The 16,242-nt window shown below is 35.9% G+C and overlaps 1 annotated feature.

Moving 5' to 3' along the window:
• Window positions 7,218-7,719: an enhancer, noted in NCBI's record as "H3K27ac hESC enhancer chr11:125672677-125673178 (GRCh37/hg19 assembly coordinates)". NCBI's record gives its function as "activates a minimal SCP1, AML or CMV promoter by ChIP-STARR-seq in naive H9 embryonic stem cells {active_cell/tissue: H9 hESC(naive)}" and the evidence as "EXISTENCE:reporter gene assay evidence [ECO:0000049][PMID:30033119]".

Here is a 16,242-nt window from a genome sequence, read left to right as displayed (position 1 = left end):
TCAAAACATGAAATATACAAAGGAGCAAAAAGAACCCAAAACATAAAACATCTATGAATCCATCATAAGAGGAGACTCCTGGTCAAATTTCCCTTTATAGATATTAAGTCTTCTTAATATTACTATCATAATTTTTCTATTTATTGATAAAAATAGAAATAACTAATTGTAATTTTAACTATTTATCTCAAGCATATAACTTCAAGATCTATGTGTATTTTTCTCAGAAATATAAGGTTCAGGTTATTACAGCAAACAGAATACTTGATACCTGTAAACTTCATGTGAAACGTTTACTGTTTAATATTCCTTTTATTAAAAAATCAAATGATGTAAGGGAGTTATAATTACAGCTTTAAGAGATGTGATAAAAGAAATTATAACACTACCACTTTTGAAGCAGATATCCAGTTATAGGTAAAATCCTGTGTGCCTTGCCCCTACAAATGAAGAAGATTCACATTTTCTAGGACATACGAAAATGAAAACAACTGCACAACTGAGAGATGAAACTTACATGGTGATTGCTTTGTGTAGAAAGTTTTAAAAATTAGTAAAATATTTATGAATAATCTCTAAATTTCATTTCATTAAGAATGCATGGTTCAGTGTTTATTTCTATAAAAATTTAAAGAAAAATATGAGAAAAATCTGCATGAATTTTAATACATAAAAATAATGTTCTGTGGGGTTTGAAATGTATATAAAATTAAAATACATGACAATAATATAATATTACTTGGAAAAATAAATGGAGTTAAGATATTTTGGGGTCCTCTTATTATCCAAGATACAGTAAAAGTACTAACTTATATGAGAGTTACCATTGGAAAAGTAACAAGAGTAACCATTGGAAAAATAGTAAAATATTTGATAATTCCAAAGCAAAGAGAAGGGGGATACTGGGATAACAAAAAAAAAGATACTTAATCCAAAAAAAGACAAGAAGGAAGAGAACAGTAAACACCAAATAAGTATGATAAATAGATAATAAGTACTAATATGTTATATTTAAACTTGAATATATCAGTAATAAGCTAAATATTCCAATTTAAATATGAGACAGACTAAAACTTTAAAAACAGCATATACTGTTTACATAAGACACAGTATAAGGATACCAAAGTTGAATGTAAGTGGACTGCAAAAATACAGTATATAAACACTATCATAAAACCTTGTAGTTACATTCATAGCAAAACTGTAGACATTAAAGGCTGAAAGCATTACCAGAGATGAATATATGGGTAATTCATGATGATAAAAAGATCAATTTATCAAAAATATATAACAGTTCTAAACTTCCATGCACCTAATAACATAGCCTCAAAATATAAAAAGCAAAAATTGGCAGAACTAAAAGGAGAAATAGACAATTTATCTTTTGAAGATTTTTACATGCTCTCTCAGTAATAGATAAAATAAGCAATAAAAAAGTAAGGATACAGATGCTTTGAAGACCATATCTTAGAAAGTTGACCAAACTGACTTATTTAAAATATGAATCTAGCAACTGTAGAACATATTTTTTTCTAAGTGCACATTGAATACTCACAAAAACAGACCACATTTTGGGACATAAAGAAAATCTCAATAAATTTCAAAGACCTCAAATCACATAGACATGTGTTCTCAGACCAGAGTGCAATTAAATTATTAATAACAAAGGTAACTCCAGAACCATGAGCTGAATACATTTCTGTTCACTATAAATTACCCAGTTCTGTTGCAGCGATAGAAAATGAATTAAGACAGCATGTGAGGGATGCCCAGTCCTCAAAAATATTCAAATATCACCTCGTATTCTACGTACTCATTGATAAAAGCTGATTGTTTTTAATCGATTGGCACAGCCCTGTAACAAAAAATGTTAAGGAGAGATAAGAGTTTGAGATCATCACTGTAGTTTTCTTAACAAAAATAATGTTATGAAATAACAATAATTAATCCCAGAATTATTATTGGTTGACTTTTGCTTTACGTTCTAAAAATGATTTTAGCCATCCTATGTATTAGACTCTACAGACACTATGATATGTATTTTTTTAGCTTATAATTATATACACACATATGTAATATTATCCCAGGATTGGTCTCATCCCTATTGATATCCAGGATTATGACTGCTCATTAGTTTGTGTAATGTTGTATTTATATAAGTAGAATTAAATATTTAAATCTACAAATAAATTTAAAAATATTTTCAATATATGTATGATGAGATTTCTCCCAAATTTTATAATATTTGGATGAATACTGTACTTTAACATCTTGAGAAATAGAAAGTAGATTCTTTCATGCAGGGTTGATTAATTAGTTTAAATGGACAGAATGAAGATGCTGGCAGTAGGTTCTAAAAATGCAATGATTCATGGTATTTACTGGCTCTGAGCCCAGCCCAGCACCAGAGTTCCCTAGGAAGTGCAGTCCTTGTGTCCCTAGACTGCCTTTCAGTTTTGCCTAGGACCCCAAAGCACTTTGGCTTGCAGTGACAAGGCTTGCGGAGAAACTCAAGTTCTAGCTTCTGGGATGGTTGATTACCCTCTGGCTATGGCTGGTCCAAATTGTTCCCTCTGTACACAAGTGCTGGCTAAGCCCAGCATGGCTTTACTCTCCTCTGTGACAGGACAGCACTGAGTTCAATGCGAAGTCACCCAGTTGCTGCGATCTCACTCCCCCAAGTGCACAGGGTCTCTGTGCTACATGGCTACTGCCAGAGGATGGGAGAATGGTAGTTTCAGCAATTCAAGGCTGTCTCTTCTACCCTCTTTAATGCCTCTTTCAGTGATATAAAGTTAAAACCAGGTACTGTGATTGTTCGAACAACCTGATTTTTGTTCTTGTGATGATGCTTTTCTGTGTGCACGTAGTTGTTAAAATTTGGTGATCCTACTAGAGGGACAAATGCTGTAGGCTTCTTTTCTACCATCTTGCTCTGCCCTTCTCTGTGTATAATTTAAATGATCCATAATTAATTGAAAATTTTATTTTTACTTTTCTTAATTTTTTTTTCTCTTGGCCGGGCCTGGTGGCTCATGCCTGTAATCCCAGCACTTTGGGAGGCCAAGACGGGTGAATTGCTTGAGCTCAGGAGTTAAAGACCAACCTGAACAATATGATGAAGCCCCATCCCTACAAAAAATACAAAAATTAACTGGGCATGATGGCATGCACTGTAGTCCCAGCTACTTGAGAGGCTGAGGTGGAAGGATAGCTTGAGCCCAGGAGATTGAGTCTGCAGTGAGTTGTGATTGTACTACTGTACTCCAGCCTGGGTGACAGTGAGACACCATCGCAAAAATCTGTGTGTGTGTGTGTGTGTGTGTGGATTTATGGATACAAGTGCAGTTGTGTCACATGAAATATATTAGTCTGGGCTTTTAGTGTACTATTTGCTTATATATTGTGTTTTTAATGCCAGGTTACCCTGCCTCCTGGCCCTCAGTCAGGGGAAACAACTCCCAATTGCTGTGAACAGCAACTGAAAAGAGGCTGTGAGTCATGAAGGCTGAAGTTGACTGCCTTAGAATTCTTGGGTTGATTTTAAAAGGCTTTGCTTAGAGCTATCAACATAGTACTCTGAACTTTCAATTAGGACATATTGGAGGCAGCAGTATAGTTTATGAAGCTCTGTAAACCCTTTTACAAAAACATGTAACACTAGGATAGCAAAGGGAACATGCCATAGACAAAATCAGGGAACCAGGGTTCCCCAAGCCCTTGGATATCTCAGATATATGGAAATATGTCACTAAAATTCCTTTCACAAAATAGAGCTTGATCCTTAGGAAGAAAGGAACTGTTAGTAGAAACAAAATTGAGCTTGGTATAAAGACTGAGATTATCAGAGAATATAATGTTTCTTTTTTTGTTTTTTTTTTTTTGTTTTTTTTTTTGAGATGCCCAGGCTGGAGTGCAGTGGCGCGATCTTGGCTCACTGCAAGCTCCACCTCCCAGGTTCATGCCATTCTCCTGCCTCAGCCTCCCGAGTAGCTGGGACTACAGGCGCCCACCACCATGCCTGGCTAATTTTTTGTATTTTTGGTAGAGATGTGGTTTCACTGTGTTAGCCAGGATGGTCTCGGTCTCCTGACCTTGTGATCCACCCACCTCAGCCTCCCAAAGTGCTGGGATTACAGGCATGAGCCACCGCACCTGGCCGAGAATATAATGTTTCTGTATGTACATGTATTATCTAGCTTTGAACATGGAGTGGACATAGAGCAGTAACACCGCAATAGCAATGGGCACACCTAGCACCTGTATTTTCGTTTCTAAATATCCTTTCCCATTAAGAAGAAGTAGGTAGGGCTCCTTGCAGGGAAAATACAAAATGAGCCTGGAATATTTAGGCCAGGGCTGAAATAAGGAAGTGTTCAAAGAATGGTGGAAATGCTGAAAGGATATTGAATCAAGCTTAAAGGGACTCTCACTGGCCAAAATTGAGCATCAAAATAAATGTTATAATGATCAATATGACTCATTGAACAAAATAGGAATGATTATACTTATGTAATCAAATAGGTAAATAAGGAGAGGAGAAAACTTTTCCTTACAGTAGATTGCCAACTAATAAATTAGATTCCATCTAATAAACACTGAAGGAGTATTGAAATTGGAAAATCACCATCTGACAAAAATGCTAAGAAATAATTCATTAATTCAGGCAAAAATGCTAAGATTATCACTAACTTATTAGTGTTAACAGATGATAAAACTTGTAAGTGATAAAACTTGTTGGTGAAAATGGAAAGATACTGGGACATTCACAAAGTCTGAGAACCTCACCAGAAAATAGTTAGCAATTACAAAGGGAAAATGAGTAATTTTACAGAAGATAAATAATTTTAATTGTAATTAATTAACATCACTAGTAAAGAGATAAAATTATGTGCCCCTAGATAGAATGCACTGAGAACACAGCACCACTTCGGCGAAATTTTTGTCAAAGACCTATTATCTGTATGTAATCATGCAGACATGTTGTGCAGGCCCAGTTTGAGGGGAATTATGTAAAATACCAGCTTATAATTTTAAAAGTATTAAAGCCATGAAAATAAGACTGTGAACCTATTCCAGATTAGAGGAGACTAAAGAGACATTGCAAATAAATGCAATATCATGATCCTAGATTGAATTATTTTGCTATGAAAAATATTACTGGGAAATTGATAAAACTTGGATGGGGTCTGTGGATTACATGATAGTAATTTGTCAATACTAATTTTGTGATTGTGATGATTGTATTGTGGTTATAAGAAAAAATATCTCTGTTTTTAGGGAACACATAGGAAAGAGTTCAGAAATAATGAGGCATTGTATTATTAACTTGTATCATTAGCAAGTAGTTCAGAAAAAAGACATTCTTTGTAGTATTAGAAACAGTAACTCTTCAATCAAACTATAATCAATCTAAAGTATATGATTTAGCTTAGAGTTTGGCTGTGTTAAATACAATTTGAGAAAAATATATAGAAAAGCTTAGAATGGAGATGGCTAGAAAACCAAAAAAAAAAACACTGTAAGAGATATGTTTGAAAATACTTGTAGAAAACGTTTCAGAAATGAATACTGTGACTTCTGGCTCTTGGTTATAATGTGGAGAGTTGTTGGAAACAATGCGTGCCTTTGAAATAACCAGAAAGGTGGATAAAATAATAGTCAAATATTTATTATTATTATGTTTTTGAGACAGACTCTCGCTCTGTCACCCAGGCTGGAGTGCAGTGGCAAAATCTCGGCTCACTGCAACCTTTGCCTCCTGTGTTCAAATGATTCTTCTGCCTCAGCCTCCTGAGTAACTGAGATTACAGACACACGCCACCACGCCCAGCTAATTTTTTGTATAAATAGTCAAATATTTTAAAATGATATGAGAGGTGTGTGGATTCAGAATAAAAAGAAACTCAAATTCCAGAAAGGAAGACCCCCTTCTAAGGTGAGCAGAGATGAACAGGAACTTTAAAGATATCTGCCAAGACTTTTCACAGTTAATAGAAGAACAGATTTGCCATAGACAGAGAGACTTTTTGAACTTAAACCAACCAAAGCTTCAAAATAGTCCTGACCCTGCTCAAATCTGATGTGATCTTGGTGACGAATTCCTCCATGTATCTGCTTCACAAAGAAAGGAGTGTGCTCTCTCTAGGGGAAGATAATGCTTTCTACAATGTTGGGAATATAATAAGAATTTATGTGACATATGAAGAAGCAGGAAAAAATAGGTAATAGAAGCAGACCAGATGTTGAAATTATAACATGATGACTTTAAAATAACTATTAAGATATATTAAATGAGAGAAAAAAATGGGCAAAATGAAAATATAAATAATTTTAACAGAGAAATAGAATGTATTAAAAAGAACCTAATGGAAAAGTGACTAGCAAGATGACCATATAGGACACTCAAATGATCACCACTTGCAAAAGCATCAATTTAAACAACTATCCATCCATGAAAACACCTTGACAAGAGCTAAGGAATTCAGGTGAGAGATTATAGAACCTTAGTGGAGTACACAAATAAGAAAAGATGGATTGAAGAGAGTAGGAAGAATAGTCTCGCATTACCCATATCACCCCTCCCCCAAGCCCAGGCAGTACAACATGGAGAAAGATACCCTCTGCATGGGGTAAAGAGAGTGAAATAAACACCCAGTGTCACCGCAGACCTTGTATGAGCCACTCCCCCTACCCCCGTCAACCCCAGTATCAGGCTCTCCTCCATGGCTTCAGGCTCTGGGCCAGCCCCCATGGACCTATGCTCCAGGTTTGCACCCACAGAGCCAACCATCAGTCTGTCCCCCAACATCCAGACTATAGACTTTCCCTTGTGGCCTCAGGACTCAGGCTACTCCCTGCAGACCCAGACTCCAGGCTACCACCTGCAACCCCATGCTCCAGGTTTGCCCCAATGCCATATTAGCCCCTGTGGACTCAGGCTCTATGCAAGCTCCCACAGGCTCAGGCTCCAGGTCCACTCCAATGCCAGGCTGACTCCTATAGCCCTAGCTTTCAGTGGCACCAAGTTCCAGGCCTGCTTCAGTGGATCCAGGGTATAAGGCCACTTGAGACCTCAGCACTGGACTGGTCCACATGAACCTAGTCTCCAGGATCACCCTTCCAGACCAGATTTCAACATGATACCTTCAGATCAGAACCTAGATCCACCACTATGGGCTTAGGCTTATTGCCCACTCCAGTGCTAGAATGGCCTCCATGAACCTAGGCTCCAGTCCCATGCTTGTAGACCCAGGCACCGGGCATGCCCCAGTGGACCCTGGCATAAGGCCAGCAGACTCAGGACAAGGCCAATTCCTGTGGACCCAGGCACCTGGCTCACCTCATTGTTAGGCCAGCCCTCTTGGACTCAGGCACTAAGATCTTCCACTTGATAACCCAGGCACCAACCCGGCACCAAGATCTTCCACTTGCTAACCTAGGCACCAGCCAGCTCTCCTGAGGACTCATGTAATAAGCCTGCTCATAGACCCTGCCAGGCAGCATACCGAGAATCCTTATATGTGTTAACTGGTAAAGGGCTTTACTGGCCAAAGCCAGTCTGTAAAGACTGGAAGAAGTGCATAGTTCTTCAAATGTACAAACACCAACATAAGGCCACAAGAATCATGAAAGATAATAATAACACCAGCAAAGGGAAAAAAAGAAGTGTCAGTATATGACCCTAAAGTAATGGAGATCTATGAACTGTCTGAAAAATAATTTAAAATCATTATCTTTAAAAAACTGAGTTACAAGAGAACACAGAACTAAACAAAATCAGGAAAACCCAATACATGAACAAGATGAGAATTTCAACTGAGATAAAAACCTTTAAAAAGAACCAAACACAAATTCTAGAACTGAAGAATACAATGACTGAAATAAAAAGTTGAATTGAGAGCTTCAATAGCAGACTCAATCAAGCTGAATAAATAATTGGTAATCTTGAAGACAGGTCATTTGAAATTACCTAATCAGAAAAACAAAAAGAAAAAGGAATTAAAAAGAATGCAGAAAGCCTACAGAACATATAGGACACTGGCAAGGAAATTAATTCACATGTTATGGGAGTCCTAGAAAGCAGAGCACGAGAAAAAGATGGAAAGCCTTTTTTTTTTTTTTAAAGAAATAATGATAGAAAGCTTCACAAATCTGGAGAAGTAAACATCAGATCCACAAATCCCAAAGAACAAAGGTTTAAATACAAAAAACCTTCTATGACCACATTGTAATCAAATTCTCAAGTAAAAGACAGAAAATTTTGAAAGCATTTGGAGAAAATAAACTCATCATATAGAAGGGATCCTTTGTAAGACTATTAGTGATAGTCTCAGTGGAAAACTTGCAGGCCAGGAGAGAGTGGGATGATATATTTAAAATGCTGAAAGAAAAAAATACTTGTCAACCAAAGATACTATACTCAGCAAAACTGTCCTTCAGAAATGAAGGGGAGATAAAGACTTTCCCAGAAACAGAAGCTGTGGGAGTTTATCACCAGTAGACCTGCCCTAGAAAAAGTGCTAAAGAGAATGCCTTAAATTGAAAGAGAAGGATTCTAACATCATAAAAACATATGAGAGTATAAATCTCACTATAAAAGTAAGAATATAGTCAAATTCAGAATACTTTAATACTGTATTGGTAGTGCATAAATCAGTTTTAACTCTAGTAAAAAGTTAAAAGACAATGACATTAAAAACAACTGTAAGTACAATAATTTGTTAATTAGTAAACAATATATAAAAGATGTAAATTGTGCATCAATAAAATATAATGTGAGGGAAGAAGAAGGTAAAGTGTAGAGTTTTTGTATGCAGCTAGTTCAGATTTCATCTGATTAAAATAGGCGGTTCTAATGATAATATGTTTTATGTAAGCCTTGTGGTAACCAGGAAGAAAAAGTCTGTAGTAGATACACACACACACACACACAGAGACAAAGATAAAGGGATCAAGGCATATCACTACAAAAAATCATCACATCATGAAGAAAGATAGGAAGATAGTACAATATGATATTTGGATATATATATAAATTGTGAAATGGTTAAATCAAATTAACATATCTGCCTCATATACTTGTTATGTTTTGTCATTAGAACATTTAAGGTCTACTTTTAGCAGTTCGTAAGTATAAACTACATTGTCATTAGCAATAGTTACTATGCTGTACAATAGATCTCTGGAATTTATTCGTCTTGTCTGACTGAAATGTTGTAACTCTTTGATGTTTCCTGAAGCCAAGATTCCCCACACAGATTGTGATTGCACAGTCCAAAGACAGAGTGCAGTCTCTGTGCAAAAAAAGGACTGCAGAATTTGTGCATGGGATTTCTCTCAGATCTCCCAGTATTTGTCTGCACTGTTTCATTTGCTGCAGTCTTTTATCTTTAAATAAAGACCTTATTAAGTATGCTGTATGAATTTATATGTTCCAAAGAGAATAAGTGTGTTCTATGAAGTCTGGTGGCTCTTTCAAATATCTGAACTTGAGAAACCTTTGCAATGCCTCAAACAAATACTTGATAACTTCCAAAAATAGAATTAACATAAGCAATATTCACTTACTACAGTGCAATAAACTAGATGCTGAAAACCAATCCAAAAAAGCACTGCAAGCTGGAAATGTAGCAACATACTATTTAGCAACTCTTACATCAACAGAAAAATTTAAGACAAAAATGCAGAATTTTTTAATAGCAAGTATAGGGAAACATAAAATATCAGAAATTATAAAATATAGCTAAGGCATTTTTCAGAGAAAAATTCATAGTATTAAATATACGTAAAAAGAAAAAAGAAATAACAAATACACCCAACTTAAAATAGTAGACAAAAAAAACACAAAATAAAAATCAGAAAGAAGAAAAGGTGTAGCAAAATAGAAACTAAAATATATAAAAAGCAAGAAAGAAACTAAATCATATCACCAGAGAAAGTCACCTTCACTAGAGGAAGACAGAAAGGAAATAAAGAATAAAGAGAAGACCAAAAAAAAGCCAGAAAAAAAATAACAAAATGGCAGGAATAAGTCCTTACTTATCAGTAATAACATTGAATGTAAATGGACTAAACTCTCTGATCAAAAGACATAGACTGGCTGAGTGGATGAAAATACAAGACTCATTGATCTGTTGCCTGCAAGAAACATACTTCACCTACAGAGACACACATAGACTGAAAATGAAGAGATGAAAAAAGATATTCCATGCCAATGAAAACCAAAAAAAAGCAGGAGTTGCTGTACTTATATAAGACAAGATAGATTTCAAGACAAAAACTAGAAGAGGCAAAGAAGAAGTGATATTATTATATCACTACATAATGATAAAGAGATCAAGTCTGCAAGAGGCTATAATAATTTTAAATATGTATACACCGAACACTGGAGCACTCAGATATATAAAGGAAATATTATTAGAGTTAAAAAGAGAGATAGACTTCAATACAATAGTAACTGCAGACTTTAACACCCCACTTTCAGCACTGGACAGATCTCCCAGATAGAAAATCAACAAAGAAACATAAGACTTAATATGCACTACAGACCAACGAATCTAGTAAATATTAACAGAACACTTCATCCAAGAGTTGCAGAATACACATTGATCTTCTCAGCACATGGATCATTCTCATCATATGTTAGGTTCCAAAACAAGCCATAAAACATTTTTAAAAAATGAAATAATGGCAAGCATCTTCTCTGACCATAATGGAATAAAACTAGAAATCAGTAAGAAGAGGAACATTGGAAACTATACAAATACATGGAAATTAAACAATATGCTCCTGAATTGCACCTAAATGACCAGTGGGTCAATGAAGAAATTAAGAAGAAAATTGAAAAATTTCTTGAGACAAATAGAATGGAAATACAATATACCAAAACCTATGGGATATAGCAAAAGCAGTACTAAGACAGAAGTTTATAGCTTTAAGTGTCTACCTTTAAAAAACCTTCAAATGAACAAACTAACAATGCATCTTAAAAGAATTAGAAAGACAAGAGCAAACCAAACCCAAAATTAGCAGAAGAGAAATAATAAAGACCAGAGTAGAAATAAATGAAATTGAAATTAAAAAATACAAAGGATTCATGAAACAAAAAGTTGGTTTTTTTGAAAAGTTAAACAAAATTGACAAGCCTTTAGTCAGACTAAGAAAAAAGAGAGAAGATTCAAATAAATAAAATTGGAAATGAAAAAGAAGACATTAGAACTGACACTGCAGAGAATGAAAGGATCATCAGTGGCTAATAGGAGGAACTATATACCAATAAATTGGAAACTCTAGAAGAAATGGACAAATTCCTAGATACATACAACCAACCAAATTGAATCAGAAGAAATCCAAAACCTGAACAGACCAATAAGTAATGAAATCAACATTTTTACTACTGAATTCTACCAAACATTTAAAGAACTAATACCAATCCTACTCAAACTATTCCAAAAAATAGTGGAGGAGGGAATACATCCAAACTCATTCTATGAGGCCAGTATTATCCTGATACCAAACCAGAGAAAGACATATCAGAAAAACAAAACTACTGGCTCACATATCTGATGAATATTTATAAAAAAAAACTTCAAGAAAATGCTAGCAAACTGAATTCAACAACACATTAAAATATCATTGATCATGACTGATATGGTTTGGCTGTGTCTCCACCGAAATCTTATCTTGAATTGTAGTTCCCATAATCACCACGTGTTGTGGGAGGTACCCAGTGGGAGGTAACTGAATCATGGGGGCAGTTACCTCCATGCTGTTCTCATGATAGTGAGTTATCCTGAGGTCTGATGGTTTTATAAGGGGCTTTTTCCCCGCTTCAGTCTGCACTTTTCCTTGTTGCCATCACACAAAGAAGGAGAAGAAGAACCTGTTTGCTTCCCCTTCTGCCATGATTGTAAGTTTCCTGAGGCTGATCAGCCCTGCAGAACTGTGAGTCAATTAAATCTCTTTCCTTTGTAAATTACCCAGTCTCAGGTATGTCTTTATTAGCAGCATGAGAACAGACTAACATAGTAAATTGGTGCCAGGTAGTGAGGCATTGCTGTAAAGATACCCAAAAATGTGGAAGCGACTTTGGAATTGGGTAACAGGCAGAGTTTAGAACAGTTTGGAGGGCTCAGAAGAAGGCAGGAAAATGTGGTAAAGTTTGGAACTTCCTAGAGACTTGGAGGGCTCAGAAGGCAGGAAGATGTGGGAAAGTTTGGAACTTCCTAGAGACTTGTTAAATGGCTTTGATCAAAATGCTGATAGGGATATGGACAATAAAGTCCAGGCTGAAGTAGTCTCAGATGGAGATGAGAAACTTGTGGGAACTGGAGTAAAAGTCACTCTTGCTATACAAAGAGACTGGCAGCATTGTGCCTCTGCCCTAGAGATCTGTGGAACTTGGAAGTTCAGAGAGATGATTTAGGGCATCTGGCTGAAGAAATTCCTAAGTGGCAAAGCATTCAAGAGGAAGCAGAGCATAAAAGTTTGGAAAATTGGCAACCTGATGATGTGATTAAAAAAAAATCCTGGGGAGAAATTCAATCTGGCTGCATAAATTTGCATAAGTAATGAGAAACCAAAAGGTAATCTCCAAGACAAAGGGAAAAATGTCTCTAGGGCATGTAAGAACCCTTCATGGCAGCCCCTCCCATCACAGGCCCAGAGGCTTAGGCGGGAAAAGTAGTTTCCTGGGGCGGGTCTAAGGACCCCTGCTGTGTGCACTGCATCCCAGCTGCTCCAGTTGTGGCTAAAGGGGACAAGTTACAGCTCGGGCCATGGCTTCAGAGGGTTCAAGCCCTAAGCCTTGGTAGCTTCCACGTGGTGTTGGTCTGGCAGGTGCACAGAAGACAAGAATTGAGGTTTGGGATCCTCTGCCTAGATTTCAGAGAAGATACGGAAATGCATGATGTCCAGGCAGAGGTGTATTTCAGGGGTGGAACCCTCATGGAGAACCTCTGCTAGGGCAGTGCAGAGGGGAAATATGGAGTTGGAGCCACAACACAGAGTCCCTACTGGGGCACTGCCTAATAGAGCTGTGAGAAGAAGGCCACCATCCTCCACACTCCAGAATGGTAGATCCACTGACAACTTGCACCGGTGCCTGGAAAAGCCATAGACACTCAACACCAGCTTGTGAAAGCAGCTGGGAGGGGGGCTGTACCCTGCAAAGCCACAGGGTCAGAGCTGCCTAAGGCCTTGGGAGACATGGAGTCAAAGGAGATTGTTTTGGAACTTTAAGGTTTAATGCCTGCCCTATTGGCTTTCAGACTTGCATGGGTCCTGTAGCCACTGTGTTTGGCCAGTTTCTCCCAAATAATAGTGGTTTTGAGGAAACTCAAAGAAATTCAAGATAACAGAGAGAAGAAATTCAAAATTCTATTAGACATCTTTAACAAAGAGACAGAAATAATTTAAAAATCAATTAGAAGTTCTAGAGTTGAAAAATGCAATGGACATTTTAAAGAATGCATCAGAGTCTCTTAATAGCAGAATTGATCAAACAGAAGAAAGAATTAGTAATCTTGAAGACAAGCTATTTGAAAATTCACAGTCAGAGGGGACAAAAGAAGAAAAGAATAAAAAAGAAGGATTTCTCCATGATCTCCTATACCTTCTTTAAAGTCAGAATAGGTATCTTAGTTATTGACAGTTTTCAGGTTTTTTTCTCCCTTGGTGATGATATGTTATTCCATCAGTGAAAAAGTATTTTTCTCTAAGGAGTAAGAAAGATACCCTGGTAATACATTATCATTAATCATTAAACAGTAACAGTCTTGGCACTTTTCTTAAAACCACCCATCTATTATAACCAGAAAGATTATCTTAGATTGTCCTTCACATTATACTTTACTTACTGCCTTGTAAGAATAAGAGTTGCTGACTGTGTTTATTTGCTATCCTCCATATTCTCCATTGCACCATTGGCGTATAATGTTAAAAAGAATTTCATTGAATATTATTTGAAGTATTACAAAAGGCAGCTTGCTTTTTAATCTATGCATCTTTGGGGGTTTTGAAAAAGAAACTGAATTATTTGATGTAAAAAGGAGCTGTTAAAAGAGGTGGAAACTCTGCCCCTGTGTATATATGTTTTTTAGCAATAAAGCAGCATGGGCTGAGAATGCAAAAAAAAAAAAAAAAAAAAAAATGAAGCATGCCTATAAGATGTAGAAGACAACCTCAAAAGGGCAAATCTAAGAGTTATTGACCTTAAAGAGGAGGTAGAAAAAGAGACAGTGATAGAAAGTTTATTCAAATGGATAATATCAGAGAACTTCCCAAACCTAGAGAAAGATATTAATATTGAAGTACAAGAAGGTGATAGAACACTAAGTGGATTTAACCCAAATTCCCAAAGGCCAAGGATAAAGCATGGATCTTAAAAGCAGCAAGAGAAAAGAAAGAAATCACATACAATGGAGCTCCAATATGTCTGGATGCAGATTTTTTAGTGATGACTTTACAGACCAGGACAGAGTCCTGGAGCATGAAATATATAAAGCAAATGTTATTAGAGCTAAAGAGAAATATCTCAATAAAATCATAGCTGAATACTTCAACATCCCTCTTTCAGCATTGGACAGATCATCAAAACAGAAAATCAACAAAGAAACATCAGACTTTATCTGCACTATAGAACAAATGTACCTAGTAGATATTTACAAAACATATCATCCAACAGGTGCAGAATACACATTCTTCTCCTCAGCACATGAATCATTCTCAAGGATATGTCCTATTGTAGGTCACAAAACAAGTCTTAAAACATTCAAAAAAGTTGAAATAATGCCAAACATCGTCGCTGAGCAAAAAGGAATAAAACTAGAAATCAATAACAGGAGGAATTTTGAAAACTATACAAACACATGGAAATTAAACAATATACTCCCAAATGACCAGTGGATCAATGAAAAAATTGAGAAATTGAGAAATGTCTTGAAACAAATGATAATAGAAAGATAACATACCAAAACCTATGGAATACAGTGAAAGCAGTACTAAGAGGTGAACTTACAGCTATAAGTGTCTGCATCAAAAAAGAAAAAAACTTCAAATAAATGACCTAATGATGCATCTTAAAGAACTAGAAAAGCAAGAGCAAACCAAACTCAAAATTAGTAGATGAAAAGAAATAATGATCAGAGCAGAAATAAATGAATTTGAAATGATAGAAAACAATACAAGAGATCAATGAAACCAAAAGTTGGTTTCTTAAAAAAGATAAACAAAATTGACAAACCTTTATCCAGACTAAGAAAAAAAGAGGGAAGACCCAAATACTTAAAACTAGAGATGAAAAAGGAGACATTACAACTGATACCAGAGAAATTCCAAGGATCATTAGTAGGTACTATGAGCAATTATATGCCAATAAACTGGAAAATCTAGAGAAAATGAATGAATTCCTAAGCACATACAACCTGCAAAGATTCAAACATGAAGAAATTCAAAACCTGAAGAGACCAGTAAAAAGTAACAAGACCAAAACAGTAATTAAGAGTCACTCAGTTAAAAAAAGCCCAGGACCTGATGGTGGTACTGCTGAGATCTACTAAACATTTAAAGAATAACTAATGTCAATTCTACTCAAACTATTCTGAGAAATAGGAGAAGGGAATGCTTTCAAACTTATTCTATGAAGCCAGTATTACCCGATACCAGAACCAGACAAAGACACATCAAAAAAAGAAAACTGCGGGTAAATATCACTGATGAATATTGGTGCAAATATCCCAAACAAAATACCAGCAAACCTAAGTCAACAATACATTAAAAGGATCATTCATCATGACCAAGTGGGATTTATCCTAGAGAGGCAAGGATGGTTCAACATATGCAAATCAATCAGTGTGATACACCATATCCACAGAATGAAGGACAAAAAAATATGATATTTTCAACTGATGCTAAAAAGCATCTAATAAAGTTCAACATCCCTTCATGTTCAAAGCCCTCAAAAAACTGTGTACAGAATGAAAATAACATAATAAAAACCATATATGACAGACCCACAGCTAATATCATAAAAAATAAAAAATAAAACAGAAGGTCTTTCCTCTTAGATCTAGAATGCCCATTTTCACCTCTGTTATTCAACACAGTACTGGAATTTCTAGCTAGCGCAGTCAGACAAGAGAAGAAAATAAAGGGCATCCAAATTGGAAAGGAAGAATTCAAATTGTCCTTGTTTGCAGATGATATGATCTTATAGTAAGAAAAACCTAAAGACTCCACTGA

This window comes from Homo sapiens, chromosome 11, assembly GCF_000001405.40.
Source record: "Homo sapiens chromosome 11, GRCh38.p14 Primary Assembly".
Taxonomy (NCBI): Eukaryota; Metazoa; Chordata; class Mammalia; order Primates; family Hominidae; genus Homo; species Homo sapiens.
The sequence above is the reverse complement of the archived record's forward strand: the minus strand, read 5'-3'. Positions and strand labels throughout refer to the sequence as shown.